This window comes from Homo sapiens, chromosome 22, assembly GCF_000001405.40.
Source record: "Homo sapiens chromosome 22, GRCh38.p14 Primary Assembly".
NCBI classification, from domain to species: Eukaryota; Metazoa; Chordata; class Mammalia; order Primates; family Hominidae; genus Homo; species Homo sapiens.
Window position 1 is genome coordinate 28,009,992 of NC_000022.11, and position 24,800 is coordinate 28,034,791.

Genomic DNA, 24,800 nt, shown 5'->3' on the forward strand with positions numbered 1-24,800 from the left:
CTCCTTCCCCTGTGTTCAAATACCTGACTCACAAAAGATTGTATTTGTAGATATCAGGAACTAAGGATGTGCTTTCCAACTGCATGCCTCACCTCAAGATAGGACTGCAGCCTGTGGGCGGGTTCAGGGGCCCCTTCACATTCTCCACACAACCAGCTCTGAAGGGCAGCAGAAGCACAGGGTGCTGCTAGCAGCATGTCATTTTTTGAAATGCTGGTGACAGTGCTTTTTGCTTTTCCCAGTGTATAAAGGCATTATTCTGATCATTGTTCTAACTTGCTTGAGGCTTAAGTCCATAACCTTCCCCCTTCCTAGCACCCCTACAGGAAAACTAGGTTGTCCTGAAGCCAGCTACCACTAATCCTGATAGCATATTCTTTAAGTCACGGGAAAGTCTGCAGGGAGAAAAACTCTAAAACACATGGCACAACTTTTATACATTCAGAGGATCCCTTTCCAGGATGACCTGTGGCGCTGGGGAAGCACTGGGATGGGTCAAGGCAGGGCCACCTCCTGCCCTCCACCTCTTCCTGGCCTCCACCAAGCCGATTTCTGCCTCAAGTACAGAGCCGCCACAATAGTCACTGCCTTCAACTGGCTCAGCGTGGACACCTCGGCCAGTGAAACCATGCTCAGGGGTGGGGCCTGCAGGCATGTCGACTGGAGCATGCCCCCACCCTGAAATCACTGTGCTGGCTGGCAGAGGCAGGGGGCTCACTAGATTCAAAGCTCCTCGGGAACAGGCCCAGCCCCTTCCTTCTGCTTCATCCTCTTGGGAGAGCCCCCAGGTTCAACCCAAGAGCGGCCATGAAAAGCCTATTGGCTGATTTCTAAGTTGGCTCTTCTGCTTTCTGTGCCAAACTAGACCCAAAATGCAATGCTGCTTTGGACCCCATACCATTCCAGAAACTTTACTGACCGCCAACGTGTACCAGGCCTTGTAACAGCTGCTGGGGACACAGAGATGAGGGGCAGTCCTTGCCTTCAGGGACTGTAGAGTGGGCAGCAAGCACAGAGCTAAGTCCTGAGTCCAATCAGGCACAGCTGCCTCTCTGTATCCCTGGGGGATTATTCCAGGACACCCCTCAGATACCAAAATCCTCAGATGCTTAAGTCCTTGGTATAAAATGACATGGTGTTTCCATTAACCTTCATACAACCTCCTGTATACTTTAAATCATCTGTAGATTATTTATAATCTAGATTACCTAACAGAAGGCCTACATGTCACTTCATTCACATGGACTCAGTGTAGTAGTCAGCATGTAGCAAATTCAAGTTTGGCTTTTCATAACTTCGGGGAATTAAAAAATATATATTTTCGCTGGGCATGGTGGTTCACGCCCGTAATGCCAACACTTTGGGAAGCCAAAGCAGATGGATTGCCTGAGCCCAGGAGTTTGAAACTAGCCTGGGCAACATGGTGAAACCCTGTCCCTACAAAAAATATAAAAATTAGCTGGGTGTGGTGGTGCACACCTGTAGTCCCAGCTATTCAGGAGGCTGAGGTCAGGGGAGTGCTTGAGCCTGGGAGGTCGAGGCTGCAGTGAGCTATGATCACTGCCACTGCATTCAAGCCTGGGGACAGAGCAAGACTCTGTCTTAAAAATATATATGTATTTTTTCAATCCATGGTTGAATCCATAGATGAGGAACCCATGGATATGGAGGGCTGATTGTCTCAGGTACCATAAAAAACATCCAGGTATGCAAGGGGCCCAGTGGTGGGGAGGGGAATGAAGGGATCCAGGAAGGTAAGGAGAAGAGGCAAGGAAGGTTTCAAAGAGGAGGTGACACCTCAGCTGGGCCAGAGAGATGAGAGGAGCCTGCCAGCGCCAGATGACCTGAGCCTCATGGGGGCAGAAGCGGCAGTCACAGCCAGTCTCCATCTTTGCCCTCTGCTCCCCTCCCGGTCCCCAAACACCAATGCAACATTAATGGAACAAGTAATCTGGGGACCTGAATGCAAAAGGAGAAATGCAAAGGGAGACAGGCAAAGGCCTCAGAAGGCCCAAGTGGGTAAAGAATGGAGAGTCCAAATAACCTTCAGAGGAGCGGGGATCCCTGGGAAATGCAGGCCTCAGGGCGAGCAGGAGGGAAGGCTGGTAGTAAGTCACTGAAATGGTTTGCATGACAGTCAGTAGCAGTAAAGAAAACTTGGAAAAGCAAAGGAGCTAGGTTTATATTTCTTCCTCCAAGGTATGGCACATAAATCAGGGTAAGTGATGATGGTATCTCAGAAGCTTTAAGCTGGAGAATTCTCTGCAGTTTTGGTCATCTCATTAAAAGGAGGACGCAGGAGAGGGTCATAATCCTAAGAAGGGAAGGACAACCGAGCACGTGCAAGGACTGCAAGAATGTGCATGCAAGGATGTGATCGGATCCGGGAGGCCCAGGAGCACAGGGAAGGCTTGGAGGGACAGTGGCAGTGACCCGGCACTCGGAAGAGGTATCTGGGCACAAGAAGCCACTGCTCGCCAGGCACACATTCACTGCTGCTGCTGCCTCAGGGGCTTTATGCACCTGTATGTTTTTTTTGAGATATGGTTCAGTTCTGTCACCTAGGCTGGAGTGCAGTGGTACGATCATGGCTCATTGCAACCTCGATCTCCCAGGCTTAAGCGATCCTCCTACCTCAGCCTCCCGAGTAGCTGGGACTACAGTTGTGCACCATCATGCCTGGCTAATTTTTGTATTTTTTGTAGAGACGAGGTCTCACTATGTTGCCCAGGCTAGTCTCGAACTCCTGGGCTCAAGTGATCTGCCCGGCTCGGCCTCCCAAAGTGCTGGGATTACAGTCAAGAGCCACTGTGCTTGGCCAGGTGCTTTACACATTTGTCTAACCTGCTCTAACCTGTTGCATTGGGTGTTATCATCCTCATTTTCTAATGAGGAAACAGATACTCCAGGAGGGGAAGCAGCTTTGCCATTGTCACCCAGCCAGAAAAGGGCAGTGCCAGATGCAAATCCAGCTCTGCTGGTTCCCAAAGGCTCTGTGCTTTCCACCACACCCTGTCCCCAAGCCAGAGAACATCCAGAGGGCACTGGCAGGTAGCGCAGCCTCCTGACAAATATTAGGCAAGACACATCCTTGGAAGGCCAGGCAGGGAAGGTATAGGCATTTTCTGGGGACAAAGAAATCATTGTGCAGATGTGGTTTCCCGGGGATACATTTCTCCTCCGTCATTTGGCTGGAGCAGAAGAGAGAGCTGCTGAAGGCCACTCCAACAGCTGTGAGACAAATCTCCCACCTGGCTGCAGACTGCTGGGAAGAAGGGGCCATGCAGCCTGGCTAACAGCAGCCTGCTCGCCTGCTGCAGGCTCCCTGGGCTTTCCTAACAGTCTACGCAAAGGCATCTGATGGGCTCACCGTTGGGATTTGCGAAGATCCTGAGCCCTCCAGCACTCTCTGCTCAGTCAGAGGGCTGTGTTTGAATTAAAAAGTGATGTGCAAAGACCAGGGCAGGTGAATACACACCACAGAAAACCTGTCTGTGGCAGATTATGCAAGGGTGTCTTTAACGTTAGACTCTATGGTGGAGTCAGTGATTCCCAACAATATCTGAGGCTGAGGGCAAGAGGGAGGTGGGAATTGATTCTCTGAGACTCCATCTCACCAGAAAGCATAGCCCTGGCTCGAAGTTGCTCAGACAAGATTCTAGGATGAGAGGTGGGGAGGTGGGGAAGCATTCATTCCCAGTAGGGTGTGGGCGCAAGGTGCAAAGAAGCCCTCTGGGAAGGGCACAGCCACGGCCACATCCCCGAGGCGTCTGCTAGGTGGGAAAGGGCACATCCACGGCCACATCCCCGAGGCATCTGCTAGGTGGGAAAGGGCAGCCTCGTCCTCACACTGATGCACGGCCCCTACTGACAACTGCTTAGAGGTGCACCTGCGCCTCCCTGAGCCGCACCATCACTCTGTTGGGCAGGCTGGGAAGGGAGCATCATTTCATTTTGTACATGAGGTCACTGAGGCTGAATGTACCCGGCTTGTAGGGAGCAGAGCTAGGGCTTGAACCCAGATTTGCAACTTAAAGCTCAAGGCCTCATCCACTACCAACCAACCAACCAAGTCTGTGCTCCACCTTATTTTTCAAATGCTCACTGAGAAGCTGGACAGAGCGGACTTGTGTTCTGGAAAGCCTCCGGTTGTCTCGGGAGCCCATTTTGGTGTCTAAGAGGGATACATGTGGGCGCTGACTGGTAAGCGATGTGTTCTGATGCGGAGGAGCCTTGTGCCCCCAGGAGGTGCTTACCCCTTCCATGGGCGCGATGAGCAGGTCATACAGGGCACGGAGCGGGGGCTTGGCAAACGAGCTCTGCCTCCTGGGAAGAGAGGAGGTCCCGTCCTGGGTCGGTGACACAGTGTTACTGAACAGGCTCGTCATGCTCTGGCAGCTCCTGGGGAGGGAAGGGCCGAGGGATCAATCAGGGCCACTCAGACAGGCAAAGACTCACCCTGGCCCTCCAAGCCATGCCCCTGTATGGAAGGCAGGCTGAGGCTTCACAGCAGCAACCCCGCCAGCCTCCCTCCCAGCTCCGTTCCCTTCTCTTCCCTTTCAGGTAATTTTCACACTACAGTGAGCACTGTCAGAAACCGCAGGGTAAACCAGCTGCACACAACAGCTTACATTTCTATGGAGTTTTTCTACATAATCAAATGTCCCTAAGTGCTGTTCAAAGGATTTAATTACATCCTGTGTGGAGCAATTGTGTGCAGGCAAACGTGAGGACCATTAGGAATCAGCGACAGCCACCAAGCTGATGAGGACAGTGCCCCAATGCCAATTAAGGTACCAAGGGGGCTGCAAACAGGACAAAGAGCATGTTGGCCCCCACCTTGGGCTCAGAGCAACTGCTGAGCACCCACCTGAGCCCCAGCACGGGCTCTGTGGCAAGGCAGTAGAAACCCCTGGCCCCATGGCCTCATTGGGAAGATGCTATGACCAGGCAGCAGCTGCAGAGTGGGTCGGTTTGAGTATGGCTGTATAGTTTTGTTTCGCTTTTAAATTTCTGTTCCAATGTTTCCAGGCATAGTTTTATTAATACAGAAGCATTTTCAACCCCAAGGACCCCAAGCTTCATACTTCCAACATGGGATGAGAGCATTCACTGATTCATTCATTCACTCATTCATTTGGAAAATTTTCCCCAAGCACTGGCTGTCTGCCAGGCACTGGTATAGTCTCTGGGAACCTACAGAGGACAAAATGCACAAGTGAGCAGAAGAGATACAGGAAGGGGAAATGAGTCCATTTCCAATGCAGCAACAAGGCTGCCCACGTGCATCCTCTCAGCACCTGCCCTGTGGCCTGGCCACTGTGGCCGCAGCACAGCCATCAGTGACATTCTGTGCCTGATTACTGGACAGACAGTGATTTTTTTTTTAAACAGACAAGGTATCATCCTTCCTGTAGGAGATAGCTTTAAAAAAAAAAAAAAAAAAAAAAAGACAAATTGTTGCTCTGTGACCCAGGCTGGAGTGCAGTGGTGCAAACATAGCTCACTGCAGCCTCAACCTCCTGGGCCCAAGTGCTCCTCCTGCCTCAGCCTCCTGAGGAGTTGGGTCCACAGTTATGTACCACAACACCTAGCTAATTTGTAAATTTTTTTTTGTAGAGATGGGGTCTCACTGTGTTACCCAGGCTGGTCTTGAACTCCTGGGCTCAAGCAATCCTCCCACCTTGGCCTCCTAAAGTGTTGGGATTACAGACGTGAGACACCACACCCCACCATCAGTGATCTCTTAACCTCGATTTAGACACTGTTCATAGTTTAAGAGTTTCTGCTACATACTCTAGGACTCTTAAGGGCAAAGACCATGCCGTAAACCAGATACACTGCTGAGGTTCAGTAGGTACTCTGGCTACTGGCAGTGACAGCAACTAGATTGTTGCCGAAGAAAAGCACAGAAGGCTGCTCCTCTCTGCTGGTCCAGACCAGGAGCTGTGACATCAAAATAAATTATTTGAAAGATTCAGTGATGTGTTTTCCAGGTAAGGTTTCTACCCCTAGCTCTCTCCCACTCCTCCCAGTGATCTTGGCAATGCACCACTTGACCTAAATTCTAGGGTCATGCCAAGCCAAGCTCTCAGCACCCTCAGCCCCCAGCCTGGTGCCTGTGAGAGAAAAGCAGAGCAGCAGGACTTGGAGGGCCAGGGAGCCCACTCACATCCGCTCCCTGGCCTCACTCACTCTGGAAACGTGTAATTACAAGTGACGAGGGCTGCAGCATGTCTTTGCATTCAGAGCCAGTGAAGCACAGATAACCCCGGAGTGACACTCAGAGGCTCACTTAATTCCACAGAATACACTGCAAAGAGCAATTCTCCCCTCAAGGAGAGATTACCAAATTGCTCTCCCGAGGAGACGCTTTGGCATGACGCGCGGTGTCTGTCACGGCACTGTTGGTTACCACACACACGTGTTCTCAGCAGACAGGCAGCATGGCCCCGAAGAGCCTAGGCTGCCATCCAGACAGCAGATGGGCAGCAGCAGGAGCACTAGGTGCCCTCTTCCTATGTACCTCAAGTTTCACAATCTAGATGATGGCCTGGACTATGGGCTCATGTACCCCCAACTTGAGGTGCCTCAGTCTGATCAGTCCAGCTGGGGGTGACCAGGGGGAGTGCCATGCCCCCAGACAGTGCTGTGGCCCAAGGTCCTCAAGATGACTGATGGGGACACTTCACAAACCTCAAGGCCCTTCGGCTTTGAACTAAAAAGGCTCCTACTAGAGAAAGAGACCCCAGCTCTAGGGAGTTCTCAGGACAGCCCCAGCTGTCCAGGGAGACCCAGGAGTTCCTTCAGCTGCTCCAAAGCTTGGCTACTTACTCCAACAAATCAGAACCAAACACCCGGCCCATCTGACCCCTCCCTGAGGAGCACAAGATGTCAGGTTGGGCAGTCCCTGGAGGTCTGGGCAGGGTACCCCTACTGGCAATGCTGAACTACACAAGGAAGTGCCAGGGAAAGGCTGGAGTCTGATGCCGGCCAGCAATTCAAAAGAGGAAAATGTCTGGAAGAAGTGGTGGGCAGACCTGCTGAGCTCGAATCCCAGCCTTGGGCACTGCTTCATGCCCTGCAATCAGGGGCAGTGTCATCTAGGGGCAGGGAGTGTGGGGCCTGGAGAGGATGGCTGCAGCACGTGGAAAGCCAGACAAGGCTTGGGCACGTGAGCTAGAGACAGGCCTGGGGCAGGAGGGCAGAGACCAGGCTGTGGATTCCAGGGCCCAAGTGCTAACGGCGGTGGCATCTTTTTATTGAAAATGCCATGAGTGCCAGAGGCATCTAAGGGGCCCGGTGGCGCTAACCCATCCCACATATGTCACTGCCCGTGATGTGCCAGGCACCATGGGTGCCACCCAGGCCATGGGCCTTTGTCCTGGGTCCCAGTGGAGGTGGGGCAGCACCGGGGATAAGTCCCTGACTCCCACTGCTGGTCGGGCTGAGCTGAGGAAAGGCTCTTTGGGACAGCACCATTTGATCTGGGCTACAAGGGATGACTTGGTGGCACCCTGCCTGGACAAAGTGGAGGAGGTCATTCCAACAGAGGAACAACATAGGGAAATAGAGACTGGGGTACTTGGGGCAGTGAGTGTGAGGAGTCATGCGGACAGAGGGCTGGGGATGCAGGCCGAAGAAGAAAGTGGGCCAGATGGGCCTGGGCACTGGGCAGAGGATCTGGGGTTATCTATGGGGAGAAGCAGTACCTCTTACCTCTTTAAACAACCAGGCTTGCCTGATCAAGAAGTTCCTCTCCCCAGGCTACCAGTTGTTTCCTAGGGGATGAGCATAAGGAGGCCACCTGTGTCAACACCCCTCCCCTGAGAACATTCCCCCCATCCCCAGGGCTAACACAGTGCAGATTCTTCAAGAACCAGCGATTAATGGGGTGGCCAGGGCACCCAAGCTCCAATGAAGGCTCTGCCTCTGAGTCTCAGCTGAGCACCCCCTGCCTGGAACTTGACCTTGTCCTGCTCTCTCCAGGCCGCCAAGCCCACCTGTGCCCCATCAGCACTTGCTGGCCTCTGCCCCCCTAGATGCCACATCAAGCACTGGCTCTCAGCCTCCCACCCTGGCCCTTCTTGCAACCTGGCAGCTCACAGACCAACTATTTCTGGAGCAACAGTTCCTGGGCACTGACCCTAGCCAGCCCAGTCTGGGTGGGCCCAGCAGGACCTGGCCACGGGGCCCCTTGCATTCAGGCAGGCGGTCCTTTGAGAATACTCCTCTGATCTGTGCTGCTATTCAGTGTGTGTGTGTGTGTGTGTGTGTGTGTGTGTGTATGTGTGTGCGCGCGTGTGTGCGCGCGCGGGGGGGGGGGCGGGGAACCTGTCCCTAGAGAGATCCTTTTCAAAATAAAAACAAAAGCCTAGAAATAGTTGGTAATTATGAAACAACAAACCAAAAAACCAACCAACCTGCAACCGTGATTTGAGGTCAAAGTAAATCCATCAAGACTTTCTCCCTGAGCAGGAGGCATCTGTGGCTAGCCGCCCAGCCCCGCAGCAGCAGCCTTCGCAGTCCTGCATCTGCTGGGCCCAGTGCTGCCTTCCTGCCCACGCCTCTTCCTTAGTAGCTCTTCACGCAGCAGCTGCCTCTGGTTTCTCCATGCTAGTGGCCCTGGTCCACCTTGACAGCAGCCACATGTGGCTGGTCCCCACTGGGGAACTGCCCTGGGACTGATAGGCTCAGGGGCAGGGAATGGGAGTCAGGGGTCAGGGGGATGGCAGGCAGGAAACCAAGGCCAAGAGCTACTGAGGGTCCCTTGAACCCTGGGAGCCCTCCGCCAGAGGTGCGCATGGTGGGAGGGTGTCAAGCTGGGACTCAGAGGACAGGATGTGGCAGGATACAGCCCCTCCCTGGTTGTATGGGCGGACCCAAGGTTTCCTTGCCTCCACCATCATTAGTGCTGCTGCTGCCTTGTGCAGACTGCTGGAAGCTGGTAAGGGTGAGCTCCCTTTCACATGCAGTTTCTGTTCTCACTGCAACAGTTAAAGCAACCAATTGCAACTGTCTTACTGGGATACCTCTGCCTAGAGATCTGCATAAAGATATATTCCCAACAGATCAAAACAGCAAAGCAGTCAGCTCCTTAGCCCTGAGCCTTACTGTTCACAGCTGGGAGTGGACCACCAGTTTGCCTAGACATGTCACCAAAGAGCTGTGACTCTGGCAAGGAATGTCACTTCCCTCTTTTCCTTGCTGGTAAAATAAAGGGTTGGGCTAAAGTTCTTGTAGGGCCTCTTCTAGGGTTTTTAAAAAATTTTTTTTTTACTGATGATCAATCCAACTGGAACTTCTAGTTTTAGAAAATGAAAAATCTCCTCTATGTAGGCAAGCCCTCAACCCCTCTGCTGAACCTCAGCCCTTCCTGTGTCTCCTCTGTGTGGGCATCAGGCATGGGACAGTTAGGTGCAGGCTCAGCTTTCTGGTGGTGTAATCTGCCCAGGAGAGTTGGCACTACTGATACATGTCCTTGTGGTGGCGTGGTTTTGGGCCTCTGAGTCACAGCTGGCTGGCAGCAGGCACCCCAGGCTCTGAGCCCCAGGCGGCAGAATGCTCACAGCGGCTAACAGGTGTGCACTGGAGTGTGAGGGATGACCTGCTCTCTGCCGTCCACCTTCCTACACTGTCACGACAATCTAGTCCTTCACTGCTTTGTAGAAGAACGGCCACAGAGGGCCGGGGGCTCCTCAAGGCAGCACTTTAGAGTGTATATAGTATTGCTCTGATCTCCACAGGCCTTTCGCCCTGGCTGACTTCTCTTTGCCTCAGCTCTCTGGGCTCTAGAGAACAGTGCTTTTCGCTTGCTAGAATGGGAGCTTTGAAAGGGGTGGAAACATGCTTCCCACATGGCAGGAGCGTGAGCCGTGGCAGGGGCCATGCTGCCCATTTAGGAATGAAGACAGCCCAGAGTAGAACACACATGCACCCCTCTGCCGGCACAGCCAGGCCTGCCACGGCGGCCTCACCGGCTCAGGGCCTGTGAGGTTACTCCTCCTCTTCAGATGAGGAACCAAGGACCAGAGAGAGCAAGAGACCTGCACAAAGCCACCAGGCTGGTAGGGCATCAGGCCTCCCACTTGGCAGGATAGGGGCTTTTGCTGTGCCCTCCCAGCCGCTGTGTCCCTAAAGGTGGTGTGATGGTGGGTGGCCCCTCCTGGGGGCTGCGGCTCCGGGCTTCACAGCTGCACCACCCCGGGGCTCCAGCAGGTGGCACTGGCTCACTTTTCTCACAGTCTGTCCCATGGCTGCCGGGACCCAGTTGGACTGACAGCCTAGCTCTCAGCAGAGGATCTTCTCACCTCACTCTGTCTTTATTGGTTTATTCTTCAGATGATGTTTATTAACCTACTTCGGGAACATTTTCATTTTCTCCAAAGCACACAGTCTGTGTGGTGGCGGGAAAAGGAGAGGGCCCAGCATGCATGCAGAGAGAGGTGAGGCCACAGAGGGTCTGCGAAGAGCAGCCAAGGGGCAGAGGGGTCAGGGGCGTGGCTCATGTCTCTGGAATGATGACAAATGCCAGCTGGGCTGGGCTCGTGAATCTTCCCTCGCTGCTCATGAATCTTCCCTTCAGGGAGGATGAAGGGCTCTATTCCTGAGGCAGGAGGAAGCCAGCGCACTGCTCACACTCCTTTGGGCAGTCTGTGCTGCAGCAGTGCCTGCGAGCGAGGATGAGCCTGTGTGCAGCTGCTCCCTGGCTTCCCATCCACACTCAGCTTAAAGAGTGAAGTTAATTCATGGTGCAGACAGCAGCCTGGGCAAGTCCCCCTCCCCCAACACACACACACACACACACACACGCACACACACAGAGCTTTCTCAGGCTCTCACACTCTGAGGTGGAGAGTGAAATGCACGCACCCACTCTGCTTGGGCCAAACAAGCTCCTTCAGGCAGCTAGGACCCGACAGACCTCCCTGTGGAGTCTGCCCGCCCTGCCTTCTGCGAGGCAGGCTCTCACCTCAACCCACTCTGCTCTGTCACCCCTCACCTGGCTTCCAAGGCAGCATTTCTGCAGCAGTCTGGCATTGAGGAATCAGGTCTCCCACGTGAAGAACACAGCACTGCCTCCTTGGCAGAGAAGCGTCTACGTGGGGTCAGCAGATGAAGAAACAGGGGCTTGACTCTCCCTCAGCCAAGGCTAAGAAAAGGGCTCTGGCTCAAGCCTGAAGATGACCAGGATGGTGGGGGCCCACCTAGCCCTGAGATTCTGGCCCTACTGTCTCTGCAGTAGGGCTGACCAGATGGCTGGGAGGAGGGAACAAGCATGCTAGAGCTTAGTGCAATCTCGAAGAACCTCACTGGCTGGCTGGGGCTGTCTGCTCCACACACATCAACCCAGAGGCAGCCACTACCGTGGGGCCAGCGCTGTGAGACTGCCTGGGGAGGGGCAGCTAGGAAGGGTACCACCTGAGGAACGCATGAAGGGGCGACCTGAGGGAAGGCTTTGCTCCTCACGGCACCAAAGAGAAAGGTGGTGCTCATTCACCCATTCAACATGGGCTAAGTGCCTCCTTGGTGGCCCTGGGTGAGCTGCAGGGGGGGAATTCAGTGAACAGGGAGATTTGGTCCTTGCCCTCGTGGAGTTCACAATTTGATGAGGACCAAGCAAGGCCCGATAGCAGCTGTGTACATGTGTGCTCACATGTGTGCGTCTGATCTTAACGCTTGAACACAGGTGGCAGAACGAGGCCTCTGGGAGTGTCTTCCTTTCTGCCTCTTCCCTGTGTCCCGCCCTCCTGCTCCTCTGGGGCTCAATTCCTCACCAGGCACTTGGTTCCTTCATGGTCTGTCTAGATATAGGGCCAGGAATGCTCACCCCAGGGCACATCTGGCCATGACATCTTTAGGATGGCTGGAAGGGAGGGGTGAGAAGGGAACTAAACTGATATGGGGCATCTTCTAGAGTACGGACATGGAATCTCAGGGCCAGGTGGGCCCCCGCCATCTTCTGGGCTGTGATGTGAGTACACCACTCGCATCCTCTTCCAGCCCTCAGCCCCATTCACTGTGACTAATGAGTAAACAAAGATGCAAGGTTAAACATCTCCTCTAAGGCAGCAACATCAGGGGCAAGGCCCCACCACTCCATGCAGTCAGGCAGCAGAAAGCCTGTGGCCTGAGGGGGAGCCCTCTGCTCTCTGGGGAGCCGAAGGCCTGGTGCTGTATGGCATCAGGCCCTGAACCCTCATCTGCCTCATCTGGCCTGTGCCCTCTATCCCAGAAAGGCAGACACTGCACAGAGCACCAGTCCAGGGGCCATCTGTGAAGACCCTGTCCCCAGGTCAGAGTTCTACAGGGGTCAGGGAGGGTCCTCGGTGGTGGCAGCTCATTCAAGGTGTGGCTGCCATTTCTCAGCCCGTCATTTCTCTTCTGATCAGACACATGGTCCTCACCTTCTCAGGATGTCTTTATTGCGCATATTCACCTGCCATGCCCTCTGTGCTGCTCTGCGGTCAGGCTGCCCTGGGGGGAATCCTGCCTCTGCCCCTCACTTGCTCACCTGCTCACACTCACTCAGGTGAGCCCCTCAACCCCTCTGGGCTGCAGCTTCCTGCCTCACAGGCGAGGACTGCACCTGGCAGATTGTCAGTGTAGCTCCTGCTCTGCTGGGATCGAGCTACCTGGAAAATCCTTTGGTTCCTTCCTCCCTCAACTGAGCCCTAACCAGGATGCTCCTAAATCCCCTCTGGGGCTCTCAACTGAGCTGCATCTTCTGAGGTAGCTGGCCTGAGATCTGAACCTGAGTTTTAAGACGTCAATGGAAAAATTAATTGGCAAATACATTATATTTAAGTAACCAGAGATGCCTCAATTCAATTAAAAAACAGGATTCTGAAACCATTCAGTGACTTCCCTCCACGAACATCCTCACACAAAAGGTTGTCTCCTCTGGGAGGTGAACCTGGTGAACACTGCATTTTAAGTACTTATGCAATAAGCTGCGGGCGCTTCTACCTGTTCCCCTCCTTAATTGCCATGTGCCTGGCTGCTCTTCCAGAGAAGAGCCACAAGGCTGGGCAGGTACAGGCAGGGACCCTGGCTCTTACGGTGGTGCCTGGCTCCTCTCAAGCCCAGGAATGAATCTGGAGCCGCATGTGGCTTCTCTCCCCTTGCTCTTGGACTCTCCTGGGCATGCTGGGTCCATGGTAGGTTCCCTGCCTGGGCTAAGGGTTATGGCACATGCCTCCACCAAGAGGGTCTGCACCTGCCCTCCTGCAGGAGCCACGGCAGCAGTTGGTGGTGCCCGGCCTCTGCCCACTCTGGGCATTGTGCTGTGGCCATCTCCTCTTTACTGTAACAAGTATGAGGCTCTAGGGCCAAGCCTGGAGATGCTCACCTTAAAAGAACCTGATGCCCAGGCCAGCCTTGCACAGGCTTTTCCTGCTGACCCCATTCAGAGATCAGAACAAAGGCCCGAGCCAGGCAGTCATTGGGGTGGGCTTCTCAAGTGCTCAGGGATGGAGAGAAGAAAAGACAACCTGGTGTATGGCAGCCTGCCCAGCTGATGCATGTCCAGCAATACAGCAAAACCCCCTTCCAAAGGACTTTCCACTTTCAATTTGTGGGTCCAAGCCTGTCCCTGAAAACAAACCTGTGGGGTCGAATTCACTTGTTCACAGAGAACTTCCAGAGCTGGATTAGTCAGAGTTGTCTGAAGACAGAATATGCTGCCTCAGGAGGTAGTAAGCTCCCTGTCATGGGAGGAATTCAGGCAAAAGATGGGTGATCACCTGGCAAGGGAGTTAGATGGATGAGGGCCTGTGGGGCCGGAGCACTGTCTTTGGAGTCTGGCAGACCTGGCTCCTAATGCTGGCTCTGTCATTTTCTAGCTGTGAGACCCTGGGCAACTAACTTAACCTCTCTAAGCCTCGGTGTCATCATAGTACCCCTCATGGTTGCTGCAGGGATTAACTAAGATAACACATGTAAAGCACTTAGCACAGTGCTGAGTGCTAGGAAGTAATCAGCAGACGCGCACTGCTGTCATTATCATCTTTGTTATTGTTGTTATAGTTACTTAATTCCCTCCCTCCCTCCCTCCCTTCTGTGCCTGTACCTACTTAACACACAGCACCCTGCTAGGCTCCTTGGGGATACAGAGATAAATCAGAAGTGACTGAGCCTCAGGCGAGTGCACAGCCTGGGAGGGGAGAGGGCATGGACACAGGTGACAAATGCAAGGTGCATGGTTGTGGCTCCCTACCCGCAGATAAAGCACCAGGAAGTTTTAGAGAAGGCAGAAATGTTTCCAGTAGGGGCAATCCAAGATGGATTTGTGAAAGATGCTGTGTTTGAGACAGTGCCTCAGGGGAAAGCCCTCTTTGGCCATGTCCCCATGCCCAAGTGAAGACCCTGAGATGTGAATGGGCAGGTCTGGGGTTCCTCTGGGTTAGGACAGAGGGTGGGGGGAAAATGGAACAGGAAATGGGAAGAATGGCAAGGTGGGACTGTGAAGTACTCAGATGCCAAGCTCCACACTTCCACCCAACCCCACTGGAACTCCTGTGACTCCTGTCAAGAGAGGGACACAAACAAAACTGCGCCCCAGCCAGAGGGGGGACAGCGATGACCATCAGCCTGTCCCAGGTGGGTGGTAATGGGATCAGTGTGAGGGACAAAGTCACATCCAGTGAGGGGCAGATTTCATCTCTGCCACTGACAAGTGGGCAGACTTGGCTTGGGGCAATTCACCTTGCTGAGCACGAGCAACCGTTTGAGGCTGTTGATAGGCATCAAGATAGGCAGGGACAGGACAGGGGCTCCTGCCCAAAGCCTGGTGACTGGAACCAGCAGCTGCAACAGCTGTTGGCAGGGAAGATCCTTGCCCAGAATAGTCACAGTGAGGTGAGTATGGGTGGATGGCAGCCATGGCATGCTCTACATGCCCACATTTAATGTGGCACAGATGACCTGGAGGTCAGAGATGGAGAGAACACTCAGCTCCTTATTGGGGCCAGAAGCCAAAGAGGCACCAACAAGGAGCAGGGGAAAGAGATGCAGGACCCCAGCCAGAAAGCTGGGTATGCAATCTTGGGGGTTCAAAGCCAGGGCTATAGCTGTAGCTGACGGCAGATTGGGTCATCACTCTGCATTTATTCAAGGTGTTTCCAGTGGCCCTGAGAGAGGTTGTAGCAGGAAGAAGCATCAATCTATCAGTTTCTTGGTGGAGATTTGATCTTTTGGATCTTTTGAGTGGTTGATTCACCCCTCAGAAAAGAGCCTTTGGTGCCGTAGAAACCTCAGACTCAAGGTGGGGAGAGAAAGAAACTACTTACTACACAGCAGGATTGATCTCGTCATCATTAACCTTATTGCATCCTAGTAACTACTCCATCGGTAAGCAAACGTAAAAAGCTCAAGGTCACCTTAACAAAGGGCAGAGCCAGGTTTCAAATCAAGGTCTGGCTGGCCCCAGAGCCCAAGATTTCTCCTCTGCACTGTGTGCCTCACCACAGACAAAGGCCTAGACCTAGGAAGATAGTGATCAGCAGATGGCCGGCCTACACTGGGCTTTTGCAGCACTGCTGCAGCACGCCTCCGTACAGCCCTAAAGCAGGGTGGCCCACATGTACGTTCATAAAAAACCACAGCCTGGCCAGGTACGGAGACTCACAAGGATCCCAGCATTTTGGGAGGCCAAGATGAGAGGATCACTTGAGCCAGCCTGGGCCACAAAGCAAGACCCTGTTGCTACAAAAAAATAATTTAAAAAAATTAGCTGGGTGAGGTGGTGTGCACCTGTGGTCCCTGTTACTCAGGAGGCTGAGGCAGGAGGATCACTTGAGCCCAGGAGTTTGAGGCTGCAGTTAGTTATGACGGCACCACTATAACCCAGCCTGGGTGACAGAGTGTGACTCTGTCTCTAAACAAAAAAAGAACTACAACCACACATCCATGCAGACGCACACACAGCAGGACACGTGTGTGCCAGGTCTCAGCTTACCGGCCAGGCTGGCCTTGTGGAGATGGCTCTCCTCTCCAGTCACTGCTCTCCACTGTCCTGCTGACACTTTCTTCCCCGCACCTTTAGGAAGTCCTCCTGTGTATTACAGTCACTGCATTCCCTCCCACCTCCACTGTAGGCCAGGCTTTCACGCGTGGATTTGGAGGGCAGGGCAGGCTCTGGGAGCACTACTGCCTCTCCACTTTCAGGGCCTGACCCTCAGGTGTTGAGGGCAGAGGGGGAAGGGGGCAGGGAAAAGCTCTGCAGGGTTTCCTCTGCACCCCTCAACGTGGCAGCAGCTCTGGCTCTCCCAGAACCCCTCCACTCTGCCACTGGCTGCACACTCCATAACATGCGGTTGAGGTCCCTGCCCAGCAGACAGCCTCCTGGGTGGGGAACCAGTAAGGTGCTGGGCCCATGTGACCCACCCAGCAGGACACACACACACACCCGTGCCACGTTAAATGTGGGCACGCTGAGCACTGTGGCCGGCCCACTCCCACCTAGCATCCTCCCTACTTTCTTTTCTCCCTGTTCTATAGTCATGGAGGCTGGGCCCATGGGATGGAGAGGCCTCTTTCCCCATGTAGCAGGACCCCAGTTTTTGCTGGTGATTCTCTGGAAGGACCCCCAACCAAGCTGAGGTTCTCTCTTGCTGATTCCTTATCCAGTCTTCTGTGAGAGACCAGAAGTGTCTCTCACAGGGCACTAGAGGGAAGTTGTCTAGCAGGGCACTAGAGGGAAGTTGCAGAGACCTGAGGGTGGGCTCTGGCCCTGTTGTGCACCTCTCTTCAGAAAAAGAAGACTTACTTCTTTGTCCTCTGTTTTGGCTCTAGTCACTGCTCTCTGGACAATAAGAAAGTCCCTCTCCACATTGTGTCACACACAGATATAAAGTGGAAAATTAAAGACCTAGGATGCTTGTTGCGCCAATGGTGGCTTACAGAAGTCAGGAAACTTCTCTGGGATACTGGCCCTAAATGACTCTGGATGGGTGCACCTTACTTAATACCAACGCAGTCCCTGTAGTCCAGGATCCAGGATGCAGTCAAAAGCCTGTCCTGTTCTTCTTCGTCTTTTCTACAGCAAATGTGATCTGCTGACTGACCCAGGTCCAGTCACATACACACATATCATATATACATACCACACACAAACACACACACACAAATACAACCCTGCACATACAAATACATACATACATTCCCACAGAACCTCCCCTGACACACACACAGACACTTACATGCATGTGCTGGCCTACCAGTCCTCCGCGTCACTCCCAAAGGGTAGGGCTGCTGCTCTGCCCTCTGGGGCTCACACCAAGGTCAGGGTGCTGGCCAAGAGAAGGGTCTTTGTTTTTCATTCAATAGCAGTGCCTACCCTGGGTTCAAAATGCACATGTGTTTTCTGCCAATAGGCAAGAAGAAAAATAGTGATTGCCGAGACCTCAAAAATGACAGCAGAACAAAGAGCAATTCCTGAAGTGGCAAGGGAGAAAAACCTAAAGCCAAGTCTCACTTGACTCGCATTAGCTACAGAGGCCTCATTGCCAAATCAGTCCAGCAAACCACCAAGGAACAAAGGGGCCAAGGAATCCATAAAATCACTGAGCTGGAGAGCCCCCGGAGAGGGAAGCCCTTACTGCTCCAGTACACAAGGCCCTACACACATGGTTGCTTCCATATCACCTCTGTTGGCTCCAGGCTACAAGGACTCTGCAAACGCTAGCCACTATCAGCAATCTGCAGAAAAGCCACTTCTAGCCGCTCTGTTCAGTCACAAGCCAGTGCACTCTTAGCCCAGATCCCTGGCCATACATGGGACAGAGAGGGAGGCCTGGGACCCCACAGCAGGGCAGGGACAGGCTGGCAGGGAAGCTGCGAGGCATGTTTTGGCACCTGTTCATGGGCAGATCTCCCTCCTCTCTGGCCTATGTGTGCTCAGCTATAAGACATGAGGCTGCACTGAAAGTGCCAGGGAAGTTTGCACTGTTCTAGCAAGGATACCTTTGCCTCTGTGGTTCCCTCAGCTGTAGCTCCACTCTCTTGTGGATGAAGGCCAGAACCCCCCTTCCTGGCTTGTGAGAGAGGCGCCAGAGAACACGCAGTGTTGCAAACTTTCCTGGGCCTTAAGGGCTTACCACATTGAAGCGAGAAGAACGCCGGCTATTTCCCTCATCCAAAGGGTCGGGGTTGGAAGAGTCTGCAGAGACCCCTTCAATTTCTTTGCTTTTCTGAGGGTGGGACTGGATTGGGTCAGGCCTTGCCAAGGGAGCTGGGTGCAAGCTCCGGGGCTGTGGGCCTTGCTGCTCCCCACTCAGTCCCCAGGGCTGGGCACAATACTCAGCCTGGCTGGGGGCGGAGATTGTGTTGTATAAGTGAACCAACAAATTAATCTACAGCATTGTGCTCACTGGAGCTATTGCAGGGCTGCTCAGGACAGAAACCATCTTTCCAAAATGAGCACTCCACCATTCAAAGTGCACAGCACCCCAAGCCTAGGGTTAATAAGCTAGGGCCCTAGATATACCTGGCTTGACCCTTTTCTTCCATAGTGCTGAGGTCCTGGGGGAACTGGTTCCTGACTGCTGGAGTGCCTGCAACCAGGTCACCATGGATGCCTGACTGTCTGCTTTGGCAGCTCTCTCCTGTGAAGGACTTGAGGTAGGAAGGGAAGAAGGATGAGGGAGGCTACAACCCAAGATGGCCAACAGCTGCTGCATAGGCACACAGACGTCTCATCCCTTCCAAAGTTTCTCCACCCATGTTAAGAATTTAAGTTTAGCACTATTCTTCCCACTTTACTCCAAACAACAGAAACCCACCAGTTGTTCAGTGCCTTCCACACATTAAGTCGGTCAGTGTGTTATTTATACATTGGCTCCTTTATTCCCACATTACAGGAACCCTGCAGGGTAAGAAGCCATCCCCATTTCACAGATGACGAGACTGAGGCTGACAGAGGTGAAACTGCCTCCCTAGTGTCCTACAGCTTGTGAGTGGCAAGGCCAGAGGCTGCACTCTGAGCTCTTCACACTCTAGTTTATCACCACAGCCTGCATCACCTGGTGGAGGTAAGTGTCACCTGCCTTCACTGGCTGAGAAGTTGGCAGAGCAAGAACATGTGTCCAGGCCCAATCCCAGGCCTCCGCAAACCTGGTTGCATCCCTACATGAAACCAAAAGCCATGAGGGACACCTGTGAAGGTGGCTGGGAAGAAGGAACTAAGGGTGAACTAGCTTGAAGTTTTGGCCTCCTTACAACCAGGCTGCCAGCTCCTACATCCCCTGCCCTTGGCTCCCTTCCCACTCAACTCAGCCCTGGGAAAGTCAACACACATTTGTCACCCTGACAGCACAATAATGAGAGGAAACCAGGGCCTGGAGTAGGAACAGACAGGGCGCACAATGCCCTGCACAGCAGGGCTGCCAAGCAGAGGCTGCCTCCCACCCAGTGCACAGTCACTTCCTGCCTGTGTTCTAGGGTCAACCAGCTGCCCTTTAAAGGCAGGCCTTCAGGCTGTGGCAGGGACCTAGGGAGTCTGTGATATCTTTCCAAAGAGGTCTATCAAAATGTACTCCTAGGTTGTTGCCAGGCAACCAAACAACAGTGGGACAGGTGTCCCTCAACCCCAACCGCCTGCCCTGTTTATCCGGACCCAGCTCAGGTGTCACTCCTAAGAAAAAGATGAAGGGGTGTGCTGGCTTGGAAATTTCAAACTCGATTCATCTTAAAGCCATTAAGGCCTATTTGGTCAAGTGACAGGGAACTGAGGTCTTGGCACAGACGGGTGAGCCTGGGTCTGGATGAGTGCATTCCTAGGCCCAGTTTCTCCCTCCAACAGCACTAGCATTCTCACTCTCCCTGACCTCCCCGAATCTCAGGCCAGGAAGTCAGTGCAGGTACCTGGCCCAGGAGTTACCTGCAGAAGCTGGCAAAGAAGTATGTGAAGTTGCTCTGGCTTCTGCCTGATGTTTGGAAAGTCAGCTCTGAGGCTATGTGAAGAAGCAGCCAACTATCCCCTGGGACTCCTATCCCAGCCAAATGAGGATTGTCACATCAAGCCTGTCACTGTTTTCTCGCTTGAGCTGGAGATGCTGCTGTGAAGCAGAGGCCCTGACGGGCATGGGGCTGTGAAAGCATCATGCTTGCTGCTGCAAATGCATGACACGAGCCAGAAGCCTAACCAGCTGGAAGGAGCATCCACTGAAAGCATATTATCTGTGCTCAGAGCACCCTGCCCTGCACTGGGCCTGGGGAAAGCGCCCCACACTCACCTGTTAAACAGGTTATTGCGGCGAACCATCCGCAGAAAGCCAGTGGGGTCAGTGACCGAGTTGAGTTTGTTGTTCATCTCTTCAAATTGCTGGTCCATGATGTCTCCCGCTTCACTCTCTGTCTCACTGCTGGCACAGGCCCTGCAGGAAAAATTGCAGAAAAAGCCAATCAGAGAAAGGAAGCGCTGAGCTATGGAAGTCAGCTCTGAGGTCCTATGCCATTCTGTCACCAAACGAACCTCTAGTACCGTTGTCTCCAGATGACAGCATCACCCCACTCCCTCCTCAGTGTCCCTGAGGCCCTCTTCCTGAACTTCTTTTGTCCACTGCTTCTCAAGATGAACTCTGGTTGGTTGTTTATGGGCTGTCACCCCCGACTCTGCTGTGAACTCTCTACAGGCAGCAGCTGTGTCTGAATAAGAACTGTATTCCCAGCACCTAGCTTATGTATGACAGACTAGATGAGGTGCTGTCTGTGATGGGCTGGTCAGGCACTCTTCCCAGCGTACAGCTGAGGCAAGTGCAGCTGTGAGGCAGTCCTCCCTGCACAAGCTGCAGTCCAGTCCATTCCAGAAACAGTAACTAAATACCTACATTGTGTTGGGTACTGTCCTAGGCAAGGGGGACATGCAGCCTAAAACGGCATTTTCCAGATGAGGAGACAAACATGCTGACAAGTGGTTGCAATGCTAGCAGGGCAGGCACCGCTGGAAACGCAAACTTGAGAACTGCCGCTGATTTGGCCCATTTTCCAAGCTCAGCATGAGGAGGTGACCATTTTTGAATTAATAAATTCATATTTCCCCTATGACAGACTTTAACAGAACATCCCACAATGTGTTTTAAGTAAACAGAAATACCCAGGAGTACCTTGATTCATCAGCATGATTAAAATGGCAAAAGGCTTATTAAATGTAAAAGCCATGCACTGTGTGCCCTGATGACACACGGACAGCCAGGCCAGGGCAAATGTGTCTGTGGGAGTGCCGCCAGCCTGCAGCCATCCTCCTCCATGCCACACCATGCCTCCCAACCAACTGAGGCTCACAAAGGCACATCTCTATGTTGAGCCCTCACCTATCCTAGGCATCAGGACCACATTCAGACTTTGTGGAGATGCTTACTGATACCTCGCCCCCAGATAACTCTAAGCCCACAGGAAAACTACTTTCAGACCTTCCTACTAAGGACCGGTGTGAAGAAGTGGAGGGCACCAGGGCACTGCAGGCAGCAGACAGAGTCGCAAGCCCCTCATGTGCTAGGCAGGTGGGACTCTGGAAAGGGGCAGACCTCCTGTCGCTGAGAAGAATAAGGCTTGGTGCATACAGATTTGGGTTTAGGACAAACATGACCCACTTCAAATGGCCAAGCTGGCGACACCTGTGACAGAGAAGGGAAATAAGCCCCTCATTCTGGGGGCCAAATGAGACATGGCAGGTAAAGCTGCTATGCAAACTTGAATGCTCTATGTGAACACCAACCATGGTGTGATGGCTAAATTTATGTCAACGTGACTGGGCTGCAGGGTGCCCAGATATTTGGTTAAACATTATTTGGGATGTGTTTGTGAGGGTATTTCTAGATGAGATTACCATTTAAGCTCGCAGACTGAGTAAAGTAGACTGCCCTCCCCAGTGTGAGTGGGCCTCATCTGCTTATCCATTGAAGGCCTGGATAGAGCAAAAAAGTAGAGAAAGAGAAAATTTGCTCTTTCTGCACTGTCACCAACCTAAGGCATCAATCTTTTGCCTTCAGGCTTGGACTTGAACTGAAACTTACCCTACTGGCTTTCCTGGGTCTGCAGCTTGCTGTGGCAGATCCTGGGGCTTCTCAGCCTCCACAACCACATGAACCAATTCCTTATAATAAGTTTCCTTTATCTCTTTATAAAAATAAATAAATAAATATACAAGCACATCCTATTTATATCTACTTAGTGTGTGTATATATATATATATATATAAAATATATATATATAAAATATATATATATAAAATATATATATATAAAATATATATATATAAAATATATATATATATATAGTGTGTGTGTGTGTGTGTGTGTGTGTGTATATGTGTGTGTTTGTATATATATATCTCTTTTATTGGTTCTGTTTCTCTGGAAAACCCAGATAAAAACATCTAGTAATTATCTCAGAACCACATTGATGACTGGTAAAGTCCTGGCTATTAGCCTGCTTTTCTCCCCAGCCTTCATAGTCTGGAAATGGCTCTTTAAACACAGCGCAGTACCTGGCATGCAGCAGGTATGCAACGGGGAATTGCTGAATGAATGAATGACCTATGCTGGAGAGAATTTTATAATGTGCAAAGTATTTTTACACAGATTTAATTTTATCTCTATGACAACTCTGTGAGGTAGCTCTTATTATCTCTACCTTATATCTAAGGTGACAGAGGTTTGGAGAAGCCAAGGAACTGGGCTAAAGAGTACTAGGTGGTAGAGCTGGGTCTGAGTCCAGCTCAGATCTGTGGCACTCACTGACCTCCCTCCCCCTCCCCCTAAAAGGCTCTAAGCTTCTCACAGACTCTATGCTTCTCTCCTGGGGTTTGACTTCAACAGGCAGGGGCTGAATACAGGAATTAGGAGAAACCAGGAAACTTCTAGCATCGAAACAAATCACCAAGCTCCCATCATGCTGGAGAGCTTTTATTCCTCTCACTGCCTCATGGATGTCAGCTGAACAGGCAGGCAGGTGAAGGCTTGAAAGGCTCCTTTGGGAGCTGAAGGCCCTTCACAGAGACCCTGGTAAATATTACTCAACAAGCTCCTCTGTCCAGGGACACATTTATCATCTGAATGCAACTGCCTGCTTGGAGCTGAGAAATCGGCTTATCATTCAGCCTTTGCAAAGGGGAGAAGAATTGCCTGGGACCGGTATCAGCCTCCATTATCTTGCAGTTCTGTTCTTACTGTCAGCCACAGACTGAGCCCTCAGTATCTCCTGCTTAATGGGGTTGTTTCCTATTTCCTGACCCTTCAAAGTATTAACACCGAAGGGAACAACAAGCAGGCGATGTCACAGATAAAGGAATCTCCCATTTACAAAACAAGCCTCATATCTATATAGTAGGAGTCCCTAGTGCCTTGCCACCAATCCTCACAGCACACTCACTCTCCTGCACCCATTTCTCTGAGTGACTTTCTAGAGATGGCACATCTGGTCACCATAGGCCCTGATTCAATTCACATTGCTTCAACAATGATTACTGGGTAGGACCCATGTGTAAGAACTACAGGGGCTAAACAGATGAGGGTCACATTGTAGCTGCCTTCAAGGCTCTTACTATCTGGTATGACTAGTATCCTTTAGTTCTCCCTTCTTACTAGCCAATCCCTTTTACTCCAATCTCTACTAGAGTTAACAATTCTTTATCTTAAACTATCTCTGTTCAAATTATTGTGTGGTTTCTTATTCTTGTTTTGATACTGACTGATACATACTGTATGTTAATTTAAAAAACAAAATAAATCCTACTATTCCCAAATCCTGGGAGGAAGTCAGGAAAGTAAGATAAGCTTTGGTGCCCCTCACTCATTCATGTGGTCATTAGGCTGCCCAACCCTCAAAAACTCAGTGTGCAACCAGTACATCCCAGACACTCAGCTGGGGCTGGGATTACTCAAAGGAGGAACACTTCCGCCCTAAGAAGCTGCTAGATATGCACACTAATCTCTGCAACATGAAAAATAAATTATTACATAGTAGTACATGTATGTATATAGAAAGACTGAATGGACAATCATTACAGGATGAGCAGGGGAGACAGCAAGAAAAGAAAGAGAGGAGAAGGGAATGAAATATGAGAATGTGAATAAACAAATAGTGGCTGTGCAGAAAGAGCCCCTAAAGCATTTAGTCTCATGGCCTGATTTTAGCCACTACTCTGATGGCCATGATCTGAAACGGAGAAGAAACAATAGAGACACATTGGCTTTGCAGACAAAACTGGTGGTCATAGCTCAGCAGAGGATAACTCGAGGGAGACAGGGCCCATGAGCTGGGTGGCAAGGCAGGAAGAGTGGAAAAGGAGGGCACTCCTGGCACACCAGCTGCTCAGGACTGGCAAGCTAGGGAGGCACCAAAAGCTAAGATTCCGCCTGTCTTCTTCCCAGTCTGCTTACGTTCCACTCCTGTCTACCCAGCTCTGGACCCTTGGCCCTGCCTACCTCTCTTGCCCTCCAGACTTGGCCACACGATCGATTTCTCCTTCCCTCGTGGCTCTCTGGACCTGAAGATTCTGGCTCAGACATCCTTCATGGGCCCTTTCTACTCCTGGACTCTGGAGGGTAAAAGAGGACTCTGTTCTTGTTCCAGGGGCCTAACTTGGCACTTGCCCATCAGCCAGAGTCCTGGCTGGACCCTGCCCTAGTCTTCTGTCTGGAGTTAGGTAGAAGGCTGAGGTCTGGATTATTACGGTCATGAAGAACAGTGAGGGCAAAAGGTCAAAGTCAGTACAAGGTGGCCTAAGCAGAGGGCAGCAAGGTATACCTCCTGGCGAGGGCTGAGAGGGGAGCTGGAGAGAGGGAGCAGTCCAGAGGCAG

At 52.1% G+C, this 24,800-nt stretch overlaps 1 protein-coding gene across 11 annotated transcripts in view, besides 1 other annotated feature; it reads right to left on the minus strand.

The window, feature by feature from the left end:
* TTC28 (tetratricopeptide repeat domain 28) overlaps nt 1–24,800 on the minus strand; it is a 701,827-nt gene that overhangs the window by 31,978 nt on the left and 645,049 nt on the right. For 8 of the 11 annotated variants that reach the window (NM_001393403.1, NM_001145418.2, XM_047441214.1 and 5 more), the window contains 2 exons: nt 20,235–20,375; nt 4,257–4,401 (listed from right to left, as the gene is read on the minus strand). In NM_001393403.1, the coding sequence (NP_001380332.1) occupies nt 4,257–4,401; nt 20,235–20,375 (286 nt within the window). Of the gene's footprint in view, nt 1–4,256; nt 4,402–10,321; nt 10,728–11,002; nt 11,099–18,832; nt 19,126–20,234; nt 20,376–24,800 lie in introns of those variants that run through there. The other 3 variants (XM_011530019.3, XM_011530021.4, XM_011530020.2) reach the window with 3 other exon arrangements.
* Nucleotides 9,440–9,981: an enhancer, noted in NCBI's record as "H3K4me1 hESC enhancer chr22:28415419-28415960 (GRCh37/hg19 assembly coordinates)". NCBI's record gives its function as "activates a minimal SCP1, AML or CMV promoter by ChIP-STARR-seq in naive H9 embryonic stem cells {active_cell/tissue: H9 hESC(naive)}" and the evidence as "EXISTENCE:reporter gene assay evidence [ECO:0000049][PMID:30033119]".